Below are 15,378 nucleotides of genomic sequence, written 5' to 3'. Positions count from 1 at the left end.
ATACCACCCACCTGTGATATTGTTACTATTCACGAGGGGAGACGATGATATTACTCCAAATATTGCAGGGGTTGTTCACACCCCCTGTGATATTGTTTCTGATATCAAGGGGTGGAGAAAATCATATTACTTCCAATATTGCAGGTGGTGTATACCCCACCTGAAATATGGCACCGAATATCCAAAGAGGGAGAAGATGGTATTAATACCAATATCGAAGTGTGTGTACACACCCCTTGTGATACGGTTTTTAATATCCAGGGGGCGGGAGGTTGATATTAGTCCCAACATCCCAGAGGGTGTGCACTACCCCTGTGATATTGTCCCTAACTCCCGGAGGGGAGAGGATGAGATCACTCCCAATATCTCAGAAGTTGTACTTCCCCCGTGATATTGTTCATCATATCCAGGGAGGCACAGGATGACATTCCATTGAATTTCATGACAGGCGTACATGCACAGTGTGATATTGTTCCTAACATCCAAGAAAGGAGAGGATGATGTTACTCCCAACAAAACAGTGGGTATACATTACCCCTGTGTTATTGTCTCTAATATCCGGGGCCGGGGGACAGGGGGAGAGGATAACATTCCCTCAAATTTAACAGATGGTTTGACGCCCCTTGTGGTGTTGTTAATATCCAGCGGGGAAGACAATAATACTCTTTTTGATAGTCTGATTCATCCGCTCCACCTTTCTGGAACTCTGAGGCCGGGAGGCGGCATGCAGTTTCTGTGTGATCCCCAATACCTTTGCCGTCTTCTGTACCAAGGCAGCCAAAAATGCAGGCCCGTTATCTGAGCCAATTCATAAGGCCAGTCGAAATCTCGGAATCAGATCTCGAAGAAGCACAGGAGTTACTTCACGAGCTTTCTCAGTTCGTGTTGGATAGGCCTCCACCCACCCAGAGTAGGTATGTGCAAGAACTAGTAAATACTTGTTACCTCCACACTTTGTCATCTCTGTGAAGTCTACCTGGAGATCTTCAAAGGGGGCTGCTCCATAAGCTGGTATGCTGGGTGGAATGGCTGGACCTTGCCTCGCATTATGCTGTCGGCAGGTAACACACCGCTGTGTCACCGTTTTGGCGAGGGCTGACAAATGCGAGATGTAGAAATACTGGCCTAACAACTTTTCCAGTGACTCCTGACATTGATGGGTGGTTTCATGCACAGCCACTACAACTGCAGCTCCTCGCAGCTGTGGCACAGCTACTCTCCCATCTGGTAACCGAATCCATCCTTCCTCCATCACTTGTCCTTCCCTCTACCTGGAGAAAGTCCTTTTATTCTTTAGAAGAAGTAGGTCCAAGATCAGGTGCTTGAGGGAGCAGAGGAGCTGTGACTGATGCCTGGAAAGGGGCAGATGCTGCTTTTTGAGCCTCTGAGTCAGTGCGGGAATTCCCCAAACCCAGCAAGGTGGAAGCTCGCTGGTGTCCTCTGCAATGCATAACTGCCACCTTGTGGGGTTTCCATACTGCTTCTAATAATTGCAAGATTTCTTGTTGATATTTTCTGTCTTTTCCCCCAGAGTTCAATAGGCCCTTTTCTTTCTATCATGCTCCATGCACTTGAAGGGTTAAAAAGGCAAACCGAGAATCAGTGTAAATGTTGACAGTCTCAGCCTCACTGAGTTCTAAGGCCCGAATGAAAGCAATGAGTTCAGCTTTCTGGGCTGAAGTGCCCTGGGGCAACCATCTGGCTTCAGGGTTACCACTGAATACCCTGCGCATCTCTCTCCTTGTGGGTTGAAGAAGCTGCTCCCATCCACGTATAGTTTCCAGTCTACTGATGCCCAAGGCTGGTCCTGGAGGTCAGGTCTGCTAGAGTCAATTGAGTCCAACACTTCTACACAATCATGCTCAACAGGGCTCTGTGATACCGGGACCAAGGTGGCGGGGTGTAGGGTGTTACAAACTTCAATGGTTATACGGGGATTTTCACAGAGCAAACTTTGGTACTTGGTAAGTCTAGTATTCGTTAGCCAATGATGTCCTTTAGTATTCATTAAAGTCACCACAGCATGGGAAGCCTTTATGTTCAGGTTTTGCCCAAGAGTCAGCTTATTTGCTTTTTGTACTAGTAGGGCAGTTGCTGCCAAGGTCTTCAAACAGGGGGGCCATCCTTTAGAAACCCCATCTAGTTGTTTAGAGCGCTAGGCCACCGGCCTCAGCCAGGGCCCCACAGTTTGGGTTAAAAGTCCACCTGCCATCTTTTCTCTCTCTGACACATACAATGTAAAAGGCTTTGTCAGATTGGGTAGCCCCAGGGCTGGGGCTGACATAAGTTTTTCCTTTAACTCATGAAAGACTTGCTGTTGTTGGGATCCCCATTCTAAAGATTCCCAGTCCCCACCCCCTCTGTGACCTCTTACAAAGTCTTGGCTAATACTGCAAAGTTTGGGATCCACAGTCTACAAAACCCCACAGCTCCTAAGAATTCTCTCACCTGCCTACTGCTCTTAGGCTCTGCTAGATTGCAAATGACCTGCTTTCTTTCTGATCCCAGGCTGTGTTCCCCCTGTTGGATAGTAAATCCCAAGTAACGTACCTGCTGTCGGCAGATCTGAGCTTTTTTTCTTGGACACCTTATACCCGCAGACCTCCAGGTGCTGGTGTAGGGCATCTGTTCCCTTGGCGCACCCGACTGCCGTGGGGTGTCCCAGCAAAAGATCATCAACCTACTGGAGCAACACGCAGCCTAGGTCTCTGGTGGGAAACTTCTGGAGGTCTCGAGCCAATGCCTCCCCGAAGATGGTGGGGGAGTTCTTGAACCCTTGGGGAAGCCCGGTCCAAGTGTGCTGAGTAGAGACACCTAACTCTGGATCTTCCCACTGAAAGGCAAACAGCTTCTGCCTCTCAGGGGCTAATCTGATAGGAAAGAAAGCGTCTTTCAGGTCCAAGGTGTCCTCAGCTGGCAGCAACCCCAACAATGTGGACTGGTTAGGTACTGTTGGATGTAAAGTCAGTGTAGCTTGATTAAGCAAGCGCGAATCCTGTACCGGCCGGTAGTCCTTGGTCCGTGGCTTGGGAACAGGCAGGAGGGGAGTGTTCCATGGAGACTGACAAGGAACAATCATTCCAAAAGTTCTTAGGTGCTTGAGACGGACCTGGATACCTTGAAGAGCTTCTCTGGGGACCGGGTCCTGTTTTTGCCTAACCAGCTGGGCCCCAGGCTTAACTTCTATGAGTACAGGGGCTTGGTTGACTGCCAATCCCAGAGGGTTGTCTTCTGCCCATACTCTTGGCCACTGCTTACTCAGAGCTGGTCTTCTCTCTTGGCCTGGCTCAGTTAAGAAAAGTCTCCATTCCTTCTCTTGGGGGACCATAAGCGTCATAATGACTCCCGTTCTGGGTAACTTTAGTAGGAAAGAGCCGTGCTCTGTCAAAGAGATAGTGGCTCTCAGCTTGCTAAGCAAGTCCCTTCCCAACAAGGGCAAGGGACAGTCAGGCATGTACCAAAACTGATGAATGACTTTATGTCCTCCTACAGTACAAGTCCGAGGCAAGCAGGAAGCTTGCTTTGCTGAAACTCCTGTGGCTCCGATGATGTCAATAGTCTTTTTGGATAAGGGGGCGACCGGGGCGGTTACTAGCGAATGTTCAGCACCGCTATCTACAAGAAAATCAATGTCTCTTCCCCCAACTGTCATTCTGACCAGAGGCTCTTTGGGGATGCTTGAGCCCAATAACCCTTCTGCCAGGTTGAGTAGGGCCCCTTCTTCCTTGTCTGGGGCCTCCTGCTTGGAGTCACCTTGTTTTCTTTTGAGCTGAGGGCATTTGTTCTTCCACTGTCCTATTTCTTTACAATAAGCACACTGGTTATGCTGCAAACTCTGACAGTCAAGCTGAGTTTCTTTCCCAGGGCCCCCCTTCCCTTGCCTCTTTGGGGGGGCCCCTCTGATTGCTGCAGCTAACAAACAGGTCAGCATTTCACCGGGCCTGACCTCCATTCTCTTTGCCGTTTTCCTTACGGCTTACTGCATCCCTGTTTACAAACACCTGGCTAGCTATTTCTAGTAATTGTGATGTATTCATCCCTGCAAGCCCAGCCTGTTTCTGCAGTTTTCTTCTCATGTCTTCTGCACTTTGACAGACTAAAGCCATGTTAATCATGTGCTGATTTCAGGGCTATCGGGATCAAAGGGAGTATACATACCATAGGCCTCACACAGTCTCTCGTAGAATTGTGCTGGACTTTCTTCTTTTCCCTGAATGACCTCAGAGACCTTGCTAATGTTTGTAGCCTTCTGAGCTCCCCTCCTTAATCCTTCCAAGAGAGCTTCCCTGTCTCCGTGTAGCCTTTGTATATCCTCTCTTTCATGTGGGTCCCACTGCCGGTCGGTTCCTGGTAACTGGGTCCTTCCATACTCTTGCGGGTTTTGATAATCAGCTGGTGCATGTTCCTCTAGCCACTTAGTTGCCGCTTGGAGCACGCTCTGCCTTTCATCTCTGTTAAAGAGGAACATAAGCAACTGGTGGCAATCAGCCCAGGTGGGGTTGTGGGTCTGGATAACAGTTTGGAGCAAGTCAATTAGAGCTTGTGGCTTTTCGGTATAGGATGGGGTATTGTTTTTCCAGTCAAGAAGGTCGGCAGAGGTGAAGGGCTGGTACCTAAAAACACGCCTCTCCACCACGTGACCATCCTCATCTATCCCAGTATACCGCTGCTCTCTCAGGGGCATTTGTATCCCCGTTTTGAGTCATAAATGAGCTGCCAAGGGAGGGGTTTCTCCTGAATCTTCACCTCCTCTCTTGTCTACTCTGGGTAGCCTAGGGATATGCTTGTCTTGCGGAGGTGCAAGCACTGTGGGCTCAAGAGTGGGGAGCCTCTTTCCCTGGTAAGAGGGGGCACCACTGGGATCTCTGGTGCCATCTCCTGCAATGGATCTTCTGACATTGCGTCAAACAGAACGTCAGGAGTTGATTTCCCTGGGTGGGTGGAGAGGGATCCTTCCTTAGCTATCTGTCCCTTTGCTACTAGTATTGCTGCTGCCTGCCCTCTTAGCCACTGTGGGGGGTCTAGCACCAGCTGTCACCAAGTGTCTATGTATGGGAACTGGTCTAGGTATCCTTTACCAGTTACCTTGTGCGACACCTTGGAAACAAGGGACCTGTCCAGGCTTCCTTCTGATGGCCAACCCACTTCTAATGGTGGGCAATCTATTTCCCACAAGATTCTAAGTTCCCCTGGTGGTCTAGTGCTTAGGATTTGGCACTCTCGCCACCGCAGCCTGCGTTCAATTCCCGGTCAGGGAACCAAGAAATGGAGCAGGACTGGCCACGGACAAAACCCCTCAGATAGCGGAATAAAGAAGGAAGAGGTTTTTTTATTTGGCTGGGAGCGTCGGCACACTTGCATCTTAAGAGTCAAGCTCCCTGAAGGAAGACAGAGTTCCTGGCCTGTTTAAGGGCTTACAACTCTAAGGGGTTCCACGTGAAAGGGTCGTGATGGATTGAGAGCACATGTGCTTAGAGTGGGGGAGGGGGTGGTTAATATTTTCACCTCAGGTGGGCTCCTCAGTGCCACCGGCTGGTCTTGCCGCTGACTTCATTCCTGTTGTTTTTCAACTTTTACTTCCTCCTCCTCTTCAGAGACAGAAGACAGTAGAGAAATGGCTTCTCTCCTCAGGGCGACCGGATGATATTACTCCCAATATCGCAGGGGGTGTACACACCCCTGTGAAACTCTTCCTACTATCCAGAGGGAGAGAGGATGATATTACTCCCAGTACCCCAGGGGGTGTACACAGCCCTGTGATACTCTTCCTAATATCCACAGGGAGAGAGGATGATATTACTCCCAATATCACAGGGGGTGTACACAACCCTGTGACATTGTTCCTAATATCCAGAGCGAAAGAGGATGATATGACTCTCAATATCGCAGAGGGTGTACACCACTCCCGTAATATTGTTCTTAATACCCTGGGAGGGAGAGTATAAGATTACATTGAATATCACAGGGAATGTACACCCTCCCCCTCTGATACCCTTTCTAATATCCAGGGTAAGAGAGTATAATTGTACTCCCAATATCGCAGAGGCAGTACGCCTCCCCTGTGATATTGTTCCTAATATCCAAGGGAGGAGAGGATGATACTTCTCCCAATAAAGCAGTGGGTGTACTTTATCCCTGTGTTATTGTCTCTAATATCCGGGGCAGGGGGGAGAGGATAAAATTCCCTGAAATTTGGCAGGTGGTTTGACACCCCTTGTGGTATTGTTTTTAATATCCAGCGGGGAAGACAATAATACAACTCTCAATATCACAAGAAATGTACATCTTCCTGTGATATTGCTACTAATATCCAGGGGTAGAGAGAATGACGTTACTCCCTATATCGTCAAAGTGTCCACCCCCCTTTGATATTCTTCTTAATATATGGAAGGCAAGTATGATAAGACTCCCAATATGGAAGGGGGAATACACGCCCTTGTGATATTTTTCCCAGTATCGAACTGGGTGTACATCCCTTCTGTGATGCTGTTGCTAATATCCAGGTGGGGAGAGGACAGTATCAATCCCAATTATCCAGAAGATGTAGACCTCCCCTGTGATGTTGTCCCTAGTATCTAAAAGTGGAGAGGAAGATATATCTCCCAATTTCGCAGGGTTGTACACCACCCCTGTGATATTGTTTCTAATGTCCACGGGTAGAGAAAATGACATGACTCACAATATGGCAGGGGGTGAACACCCCCTCCATGATACTGTCCCTAATATTCAGGGGGAGAAGAGAATGATACTACTCCCAATATCACAGGGGTTGTACTCCCAATATCCCAGGGGGTGTATAGTATCCCGACCTCGGATAGACTCCGCCACCATGCAGGTAGTAATATCATCCCCCTCTCCTTCACTGGATATTACGATACACATCGCAGGGGGGCAGGCGACCCCCGCGATGCGGGGAGAAACATCACCCCCCCACCCCCGATATTACGAGCCGCATCGCAGGGGGTGGACATCCACAGTGATGCGGGGAATAATATCTACCCCCCTTCCCCATGGATATTAGGAGCTACATCGCAGGGGCATGGGCACCCCCCGCTGATGCGCAGGTGTCCTCTCCCCGCCTGGATATTAGCAACAACATCACAGAAGGGATGTACACTCAGTTCGATATTTGGAGTAATCTCATCGTCTACCCCTGGCTGTCAGGAACAACATCACAGGGGGGTGTATATTTTCTGCGATATTGTGAGGAATGTCGCAATATTACGTATCGCAATTAATAATATCAATTATTAATTGATACTAATAATTATCAATATTAAAAACTGATACTATAATTTTTAAAATCAATACCGATAATGATAATTAATATTAAATAGTTATACTAAAGAAAACAATAAATGATTAATATTAATGATAAACAATGCCTGAAATTAATAACTGATACTGACCTTATTCATTAGAAAACAGTAATAGTAGCTCCTAATAATTAATACTAACATTAATAATCTGATAACTTTATTAGCAATTATTCCTTAATATTAATATTGGTAATTCATAGTCATGTTACTAATAAATGAGTAATAATTAATACTAATATTACGCCTAATATCTCAGTGGGTGTACACTCACGTGTGATATTGTTCCTAATGACCAGGGAGTGAGAGAGCATGATATTACGTTCAATATCGCAGTAGGTGTACACCCACTCGGTGATATTGATCCGAATATAACATCCAGGGGTGGAGTATGACGTTACTCCCAATATAGCAGTGGGTGTACATCCACTCGGTGATATTGCTCCTAACATTCACAGAAGAAGAGAATGCTTTACTCCCAGTATCGCAGGAAGTGTACACCCCTTCTGTGATATTGTTCCTAATATCCGGAGGGGGAGAGGGTGATATTACTCCCAATATCGCAGGCTGTGTACACCCACCTTGTGATATTGTTCCTAATAGCCAGGAAGGGAGAGGACGATATGACTCCCCATACAGCAGAAGGTGTACACCCATCCTGGGATATTATTCCTAATATCCATGGAGAGGAGAGGCTGATATGACTCCCAATATCGCAGGGGGTGTACATCCAGTCTGTGATATTGTTCTTAATATTCAAAGGCAGAGAGGTTATTACTCCCAATATCACGGAAATTGTACAAACCCGTGTGATATTGTTGATACTATCCAGAAGAAGAGAAGATGATATTACTCCCCATATCGCAGGAGGTTTACACCCACTCTATGATATTGTTCCTAATATGCAGGGCGGGAGAGGATAATATTCCTCTTAATACGGCCGGGTGTGTACATCGGCCTGTGATACTGTCCTTAATATTCCAAGGCGGAGAGGATGATCTTACTACCAATACCGCAGAAAGTGTACACCACGCCACTGATATTGTTCCCATGATCCATGAGACAAGAGGATATTACTTTCAACATCGCATGGGGTGGACACGCCCCCAGTGATATTTTTCCTAATTTCAACGTGGGAGAGGATGATACTACACCCAATGCCACTAGGGGTAGAAACACTCCTGTGATATTTTTCTTAATATCCAGAGGGAAGAGGATGCAATTACTGCAAATAGTGCAGAGGATGTACACCCATCTGTGATATAGTTGGTAATTTCCAGAGGTGGAGAAGATATTACTGAGAATAACGTGAACAGGCTACGTGACCACCCTGGATCATAATATCCAGGGGGGGAGGGGGGCGTGATATTACTCGACGCATCGCGGAGGGCGCCCGCCCCGCTGCGATGTGGATCGTCATATCCGGGGGGGAGAGGGGGGTGATATTACTCCCCGATTTGTCCTAGGATCTTTTCCCTACTGCCACCCTTGGTTCACACCCTGGGACATTATCTTCCATATTGTAGCAAGATGCGGCTGCTAAAGTCGCAGAGGGTATACACCCTTCAATACTATTCCTAATTTTGTAGGGGAAAGTTAAACCTGATGTCACAGGACTCTGTACACTGTGATGTTATTCCCAATATCCTAGCTTTACCTTAATAATAATGTCACATTGTGTGTTCACCTTGTGGTGTTATTCTTATTCTCCTAAGGGGAGGTTGCATTTATTGTCACACGGGGTATGTTCCGTTTGATATTATTCTTAATATCCTAGAGGGATGTCACTCCTTATGTCACAGGGTTTGTACACCTTGTCCAATTACTCGTATTATCCTCATAAGATGTCACTCCTCATATCACAGAGGGTGTACACTCTGTGATCTTGTCGTCATATTCTAGGGAAATGTTACTTTTAATTTCACAGAGGGTGCACACCTTGTGAAATTGTTCGTTATAATTTTGTGGGATGTTACCCCTAATGTCACACGGCGTGTACACACAGTGATGTTACGTGCAATATGCTATGGAAATGTTACTCGTAATTCACAGGTCCTGTACACCCTTTAATAATCTTCATAATCTTAAAGGTTGCTCATTGCAACCTCCGCTTCCCGAGTTCAAGTGCTTCTTGGGCCTCAGCCCTCCGAGTAGCTGAGACTACAGGCACGTGTCACCACGCCCGGCTAATTGTTTGTGTTTTCAGTAGAGACGGGGTTTCACCATGTTGGCCAGGCGGGTCTCGAACTCCTGGCCTCAAGTGATTCGTGCGACTCGGCCTCCCACAGTGCTGGGATTACAGGCCTGAGCCACTACACCTGGCCAAGATTTTCTTTTTGTTCCTACATAGAAGTGAGGACATGAAATATTTGTCATTCTGTGCCTGGCTTCTTTCACTTAATATACAGACCTGCAATCTCATCCATTTTGTCTGCAGTGGAGAGGATTTTGTTTATTCCTTTTTAGGCTGAATAATACTTCATTGTGTGTGTATACCACAGTTTCTCAATGGAAACAAATTTCTAAAAAGCAAATATTTTTAACATGTCTCGGACTGTGAAACTTCAGGGATACGTTGCCGATTTTATTCTTTTCTATTTCCCATCCTATGTATATGCAAGTGTATAACAAAGCAGCAATCAAAGTGTGTATAAATCTATAATTTCAACAAATGTAAAATGTAAATGCTAAGTGGTGGCTGGGCGCGGTCACTCCCGCCTGTAATCCCAGAACATTGGGAGGCGGAAGCGGGTGGATCACCTGAGGTCGGGAGTTCAAGACCAGCCTGACCAATATGGAGAACCACTGTCTGTACTAAAAATACCAAAAAAAAAAAAAAAAGAAAGAAAAAAAGAAAAAAAAAAAAATCAGCCGGGCATGGTAGTGCATGCCTGTAATCCCAGCTACTTGGAAGGCTGAGACAGGAGAATCGCTTGAATATGGGAGGCAGAGATTGCAGTGAGCCGAAATCATGCCATTGCACTCCAGCCTGGGCAACAAGAGTGAAACTCTGCCTCAAAAAGAAAAAAAAAAAAAAAAAAAAGAAAAAAAATATAAAATGCTAAATGGTAAGAAACAACTGCATAATAAACATTGGTATGGTGTTGATGGACAATGCATTTGAAGATAATATTTGAAGAAATCATATTACAATTAACTTCCGTTCTTACTCATTGGAGCTTGATGCCTCTAAAAACTTCGTCATTGCAACCACCTCTGGTGCTTTAAAAAATAAACAAAAAAAAATCCACATACTCACACAGGTGCAAGGAAATCAGAATCTCAGGTATTGAGACCCAGGCCTCATCATTTGTAAGCTCCCCAGGTGATTTGACTCAAAGCCAAGATTGAGGACCGGTGACTTGGATCTCTACACATAACCTGCCTAAATTGATTCTCTAGAAGCAGTTTATAAAGAAATTCCACATGAACTCTGGAAGAGGATATGAATTTGATTTACAGTATGTCCTCACTTAACATCTTTGAAAGTCTCTTGGAAACTTCACCTTTAAGCAAAATTAGATATAGCGAAACCACTTATTCCTCACCAACAGTATAACTACACAACTTTGAACAACCAGTGGTGTTGGAGGACCTCCTGTACATTGTTTCCATAAAGTCAGTCTTCAGGGAATTCCAAAATGAAGAGAGGACTTCGTGTATATAAAAAGATGGTTGTGATTCCACCTGGATGACAGGGTTATTGCTCAGAAACTAAAAGAGGCCGCCTAGGTATAGAGGATTCTGTCATGAGGTTCCTGCTAAACAGAGGATCCCAGAATACTCACCCATTCCAGTTAAAGGCATAACGAAGAAAGCAATATTCACAAAGGAAATGCGGAAAGGAATAAAAGCCATCAAGCCACAAAAAGAATGTGACTAAGGGGCAGGATTTGCAGATGTAGGGATTTAATGTGGTTGCCCTTTCTCACCCACACAAGAAAAAGGATGGAACAGATCATGAGATTCCACTGTTCTGCTACTCAGCCTCTGCAGGGCACTTTGAATGTCCCTGTTTCTCAGGCTGTAGATGAAAAGGTTCAGCATGGGGGTGACCACAGCGTACATCACTGACGCCGCCACACCATTCCTGGGGGGTGGTGACACAGCTGAAGTCAGGTACATGCCAATGCCTGTTCCATCAAATCAGCAAACAACTGCTAGGTGAGAGCCACAGGTGGCGAAGGCTTTATACTTCCCATCTGACGATGACATCCTTAGAATGGAGGGGACAATTTTATACTAAGACAAAGGATCCCTGAAATGGGAAGAAAACCAAACAGTACTATCGAAATATATAAATACGCTATTGATGACGGTGTCAGAACAGTCAAGGTTGAGAAGTTGAGATGGCTCATAGACAAAATTAGCAATTTCCACATTATTGAAGAAAGTGAATTGTAACACAATCTAACTGTGCAGCTGGGAATCCAACAGGCTAAGGAAAAAGGACACCAAAACGAAGAAGACACAGAGGTGAGGATTCATGATGACTGGGTAGTGCAGAGGGCGACAGATGGCTACAAAGCAGTCATAGGCCATCACAGTCAGGAGCATGTCTTCTATACATGCAAAAAGGACCAAGAAAGACATCCGTGTCAGGCAGCCCGCATGAGAGATGACTCTGCTATGCGACTGCATGTCCATGATCATCTTGGGAACCATGGGCGAGGTGAAACCGATGTCAGCCCAGCACAGGTTGGAGAGGAAGAAGTACATGGGGGTGTGGAGTTGGGAGTCAGAGCTGACAGCCAGGATGCTGAGCAGGTTCCTCAGCACCGTGACCAGATACATGGACATGGACAGGGACAGGGACAGCAAAGCGAGGACCGGCTGCAGTTCTGGATCCTCTGAGAGTCCCAGGAGGAGGAATTCTCAGACACCTGTGAGATTCCGTGGCTCCGTGTGTCTTGGACACCTTGAGAAGGAAAGAGGATTGGAAAAATAAAAGATAAAAACCAGCCCTTAATGCTGTGTGTATATTTTGGATGCAAGCAATTCACAGGGAACATTTTCACACTTGAGGACCATACGCCATCAGCAATATTTCTCAGTTGTGACAAACCCAAAAATCTCAGAGTTATTACGTGATTTACTTTTTTGCTATTCAACTCCTTCTGTACATACTACTTTAGAGAAAACCCACTGAAGAATGTTGGAAGACCAAAACTTAATATATAACAAATCCGTGATCTCAGTAAAATACGGCCTACTCTTTTCAGAAAAAATAAAATGCAATGAAAATGTCCTTCTCTCTTTAAGAAAAAGATCTCAGTCTAATTGAAAGAAATTAAGAAGCAGTGAAATACGCTCTATTTTATTCTGACACCGTGCTACAAATTCCTTTGATGTAGAATATGTAAGAGGATGATACAAGAGCTAGGACCCCATTATCTAAAAACGAAATCGAACCTTAGAGTTCTCAATCGGAACACCTTTTCACATGCCTGTTACTTTTCATATTTATTATCATCCTTAGGTTTTCTGACATCATTTCTTCATAGAAGTACATGCACACTCAAATATGGGAGCTGTGTTTCCAAATGAATTTAATATATAACTCTTGGCCGAGCGCCATGGCTCACACCTGTAATCCCAGCACTTTGGGCGGCCGAGGCCGACGGATCACCTGAGGTCAGGAGTTCCAGACCAGCCTGGCCAACGTGGTGAAACCCCGTCTCTAGTGAAAATAAAAAAAAAATTAGCCGGGCGTGCTGGCGGGTAACCCTAGCTACTCGGGAGGCTGAAGCAGGAGAATCCCTTAGAACCTGGAAGGCAGAGATTGTACACCCTGTGATATTATTTTGGATATCCTAGGGAGATATTGCTCCTGACAGCAGAGTGAGCATACACCCTGTGATATTGTTTGTAATATCCTAGAAAGATATTGCTCCTAATATCACAGTGGCTGCACACCCTGTGATATTAATTGTAATATCCTACAGAGATATCACTCCTAATAATACAGTGGGTGTACACCCTGTGATATTATTCATAATATATTATGGAGATACGACTCTGAATATCACAGTTAGTGTACACCCTGTTCGTACACCCTGTGATATTATTTGTAACAACTTAGGAAAATATTACAGCTAATATCAAAGTGGGTGTACACCCTGCGATGTTATTTGTTATCCACTAGGTAGATATTACTCCTAATATCACAGTGAGTGTACACCATGTGTGTACAGACTGTGAAATTATTTGTAATACCCTAGGAGGATATTACTCCTAATATCACAGTGGGTGTACACCCTGTGATAGTATTTGTAATCACCTAGGGAAATACGATTCCTAATATTACAGTGGGTGTACACTCTGCGATGTTATTTGTAATGTCCTAGGAAGATATTACTCCTAATAGCAAAGTGGATGTACACCACGTGTGTACACTCTGTGATATGATTTGTAATATCCCAGAGAGATATTTCTCCTAACATCACAGTGGGTGTCCACTCTGTGATATTATTTGTACTATCCTAGAGAGATATTGCTCCCAGTATCACAGTGGATGTACACCCTGTGATATTATTCATAATATCCTAGAGCGATATTACCTCTAATATCACAGTTTCTGTACACCCTGTGGTATTATTCATCATATCCTAGGGAGTTATTATCCCTAACATCACAGAGCGTGTACACCATGGGTGGACACCCTGTGATGTTATTGGTAATATCCTAGGGGGATATTACCCTTAATGTCACAGTGGGTGTTTACCATGTGTGTACGCACTGAGATGTCACTCGTAATATCCTAGGGAGAAATTACACCTTGTGTTACAGTGGGTGTACACCATGTGTTTCTATTCTGTGATGCTATTCATAATATCTTAGAAAGTTATTAGTCCCAGTGCCACAGTGGGTGTATACCATGTGTGTAAACTCTGTGATGTTATTCGTATTATCCTAGGGAGATAGTTCTCCTAACATCACTGTCGGTGTACATCATGTCTGTACTCCCTGTGGTGTTATTGGTTATGTCCTGGGTTGATATTACTCCTAATGTCACCGTGGGTGCACATCATTGGTGTACATTCTGTGATATTATTCGTAATACCCTAGGGAGATATCACTCCCTGTGTCATAGTGGGTGTACGGCCTTGGGATATTATTGGTAGTATCCTTGCGACGTATTACTCCTGTTATCACAGTGGGTGTACACCCTGTGATAGTATTTGTAATATCCTAGGGAGACATCAGTGTATACCCTGTGGTATTATTTGTGACATTTGAGGGAGCTATTTCTCCTAAAATCAGAGTGGGTGTACACCCTGTAATATTCTTCCTAATATCACAGTGGATGTACACCATGAGTGATATTTTTTCTAATATCCAGCGGGGGAGAGGATGATATTGCTTCCAATATCACAGAAGGTGTACACCCCCCTGTGATATTGTTCCGAATATCCAGGGAAGGAGAGGATGACATTATTCCCAATATCACTGGGGGTGTACCACCTCCCGCCAGGATATTGTTCTTAATATCCGGAGGTGGAGAGAATGATGTTACTCCCAATATCCCAGGGGGTGTACACCACCCCTGTTTGTAAACACCCCCTGTGATATTGTTCCAAATGGCCTGTGAAAGAGTCACTATGACTCCCCTTATCGCCGGGGGTGTTCAGCCCTGATGATATTGTTTTCTAACATCCAGGGAAGGAGAGTATGCTATTATTCCCAATATCGCAGGGGCTGTACACCCTTTTGTGTTTTTGTGCCCAATATCCAGGAAAATAGAGTATCCCAATATCGAAGTAATTGTACAGCACCCCTGTGATATTCTTCCTAATATCCAGAAAGGAAAAGAATGATATTACTCCTAACAGCGTAGGAAATGTATACCCGCGCTGTGATATCTTTCCCCATATCCAGGTGGGGAGAGGATCATTATTATTTCCAATGTCGCAGGGTGTGTACACCCCCTCTGTGATCCTGTTGCTAACATCCAGGTTTGGGGAGGACGACATTACTCCCAATATCACAGGGGGAGTACACTCCCCCGTGACCTTGTTAGTCATTTCCTGGGTGGAGAGGATGATATTACTCCCAATATCGT

At 45.3% G+C, this 15,378-nt stretch overlaps 2 pseudogenes, besides 1 other annotated feature; one reads left to right on the top strand and one right to left on the bottom strand.

The window, feature by feature from the left end:
- TRE-CTC7-1 (tRNA-Glu (anticodon CTC) 7-1) lies at positions 5,187–5,258 on the top strand (annotated as a pseudogene).
- Positions 6,888–6,999: a silencer, noted in NCBI's record as "fragment chr2:159736430-159736541 (GRCh37/hg19 assembly coordinates)". NCBI's record gives its function as "represses an EF-1alpha promoter that drives an FKBP-Casp9 reporter gene in an ReSE screen in phorbol 12-myristate 13-acetate-treated (for megakaryocytic differentiation) K562 erythroleukemia cells {active_cell/tissue: K562(+PMA)}" and the evidence as "EXISTENCE:reporter gene assay evidence [ECO:0000049][PMID:32094911]".
- OR7E90P (olfactory receptor family 7 subfamily E member 90 pseudogene) lies at positions 11,151–12,324 on the bottom strand (annotated as a pseudogene).

The sequence above is a fragment of the Homo sapiens genome, chromosome 2, assembly GCF_000001405.40.
Source record: "Homo sapiens chromosome 2, GRCh38.p14 Primary Assembly".
In the NCBI taxonomy this organism is placed as follows: Eukaryota; Metazoa; Chordata; class Mammalia; order Primates; family Hominidae; genus Homo; species Homo sapiens.
The sequence above is the reverse complement of the archived record's forward strand: the minus strand, read 5'-3'. Positions and strand labels throughout refer to the sequence as shown.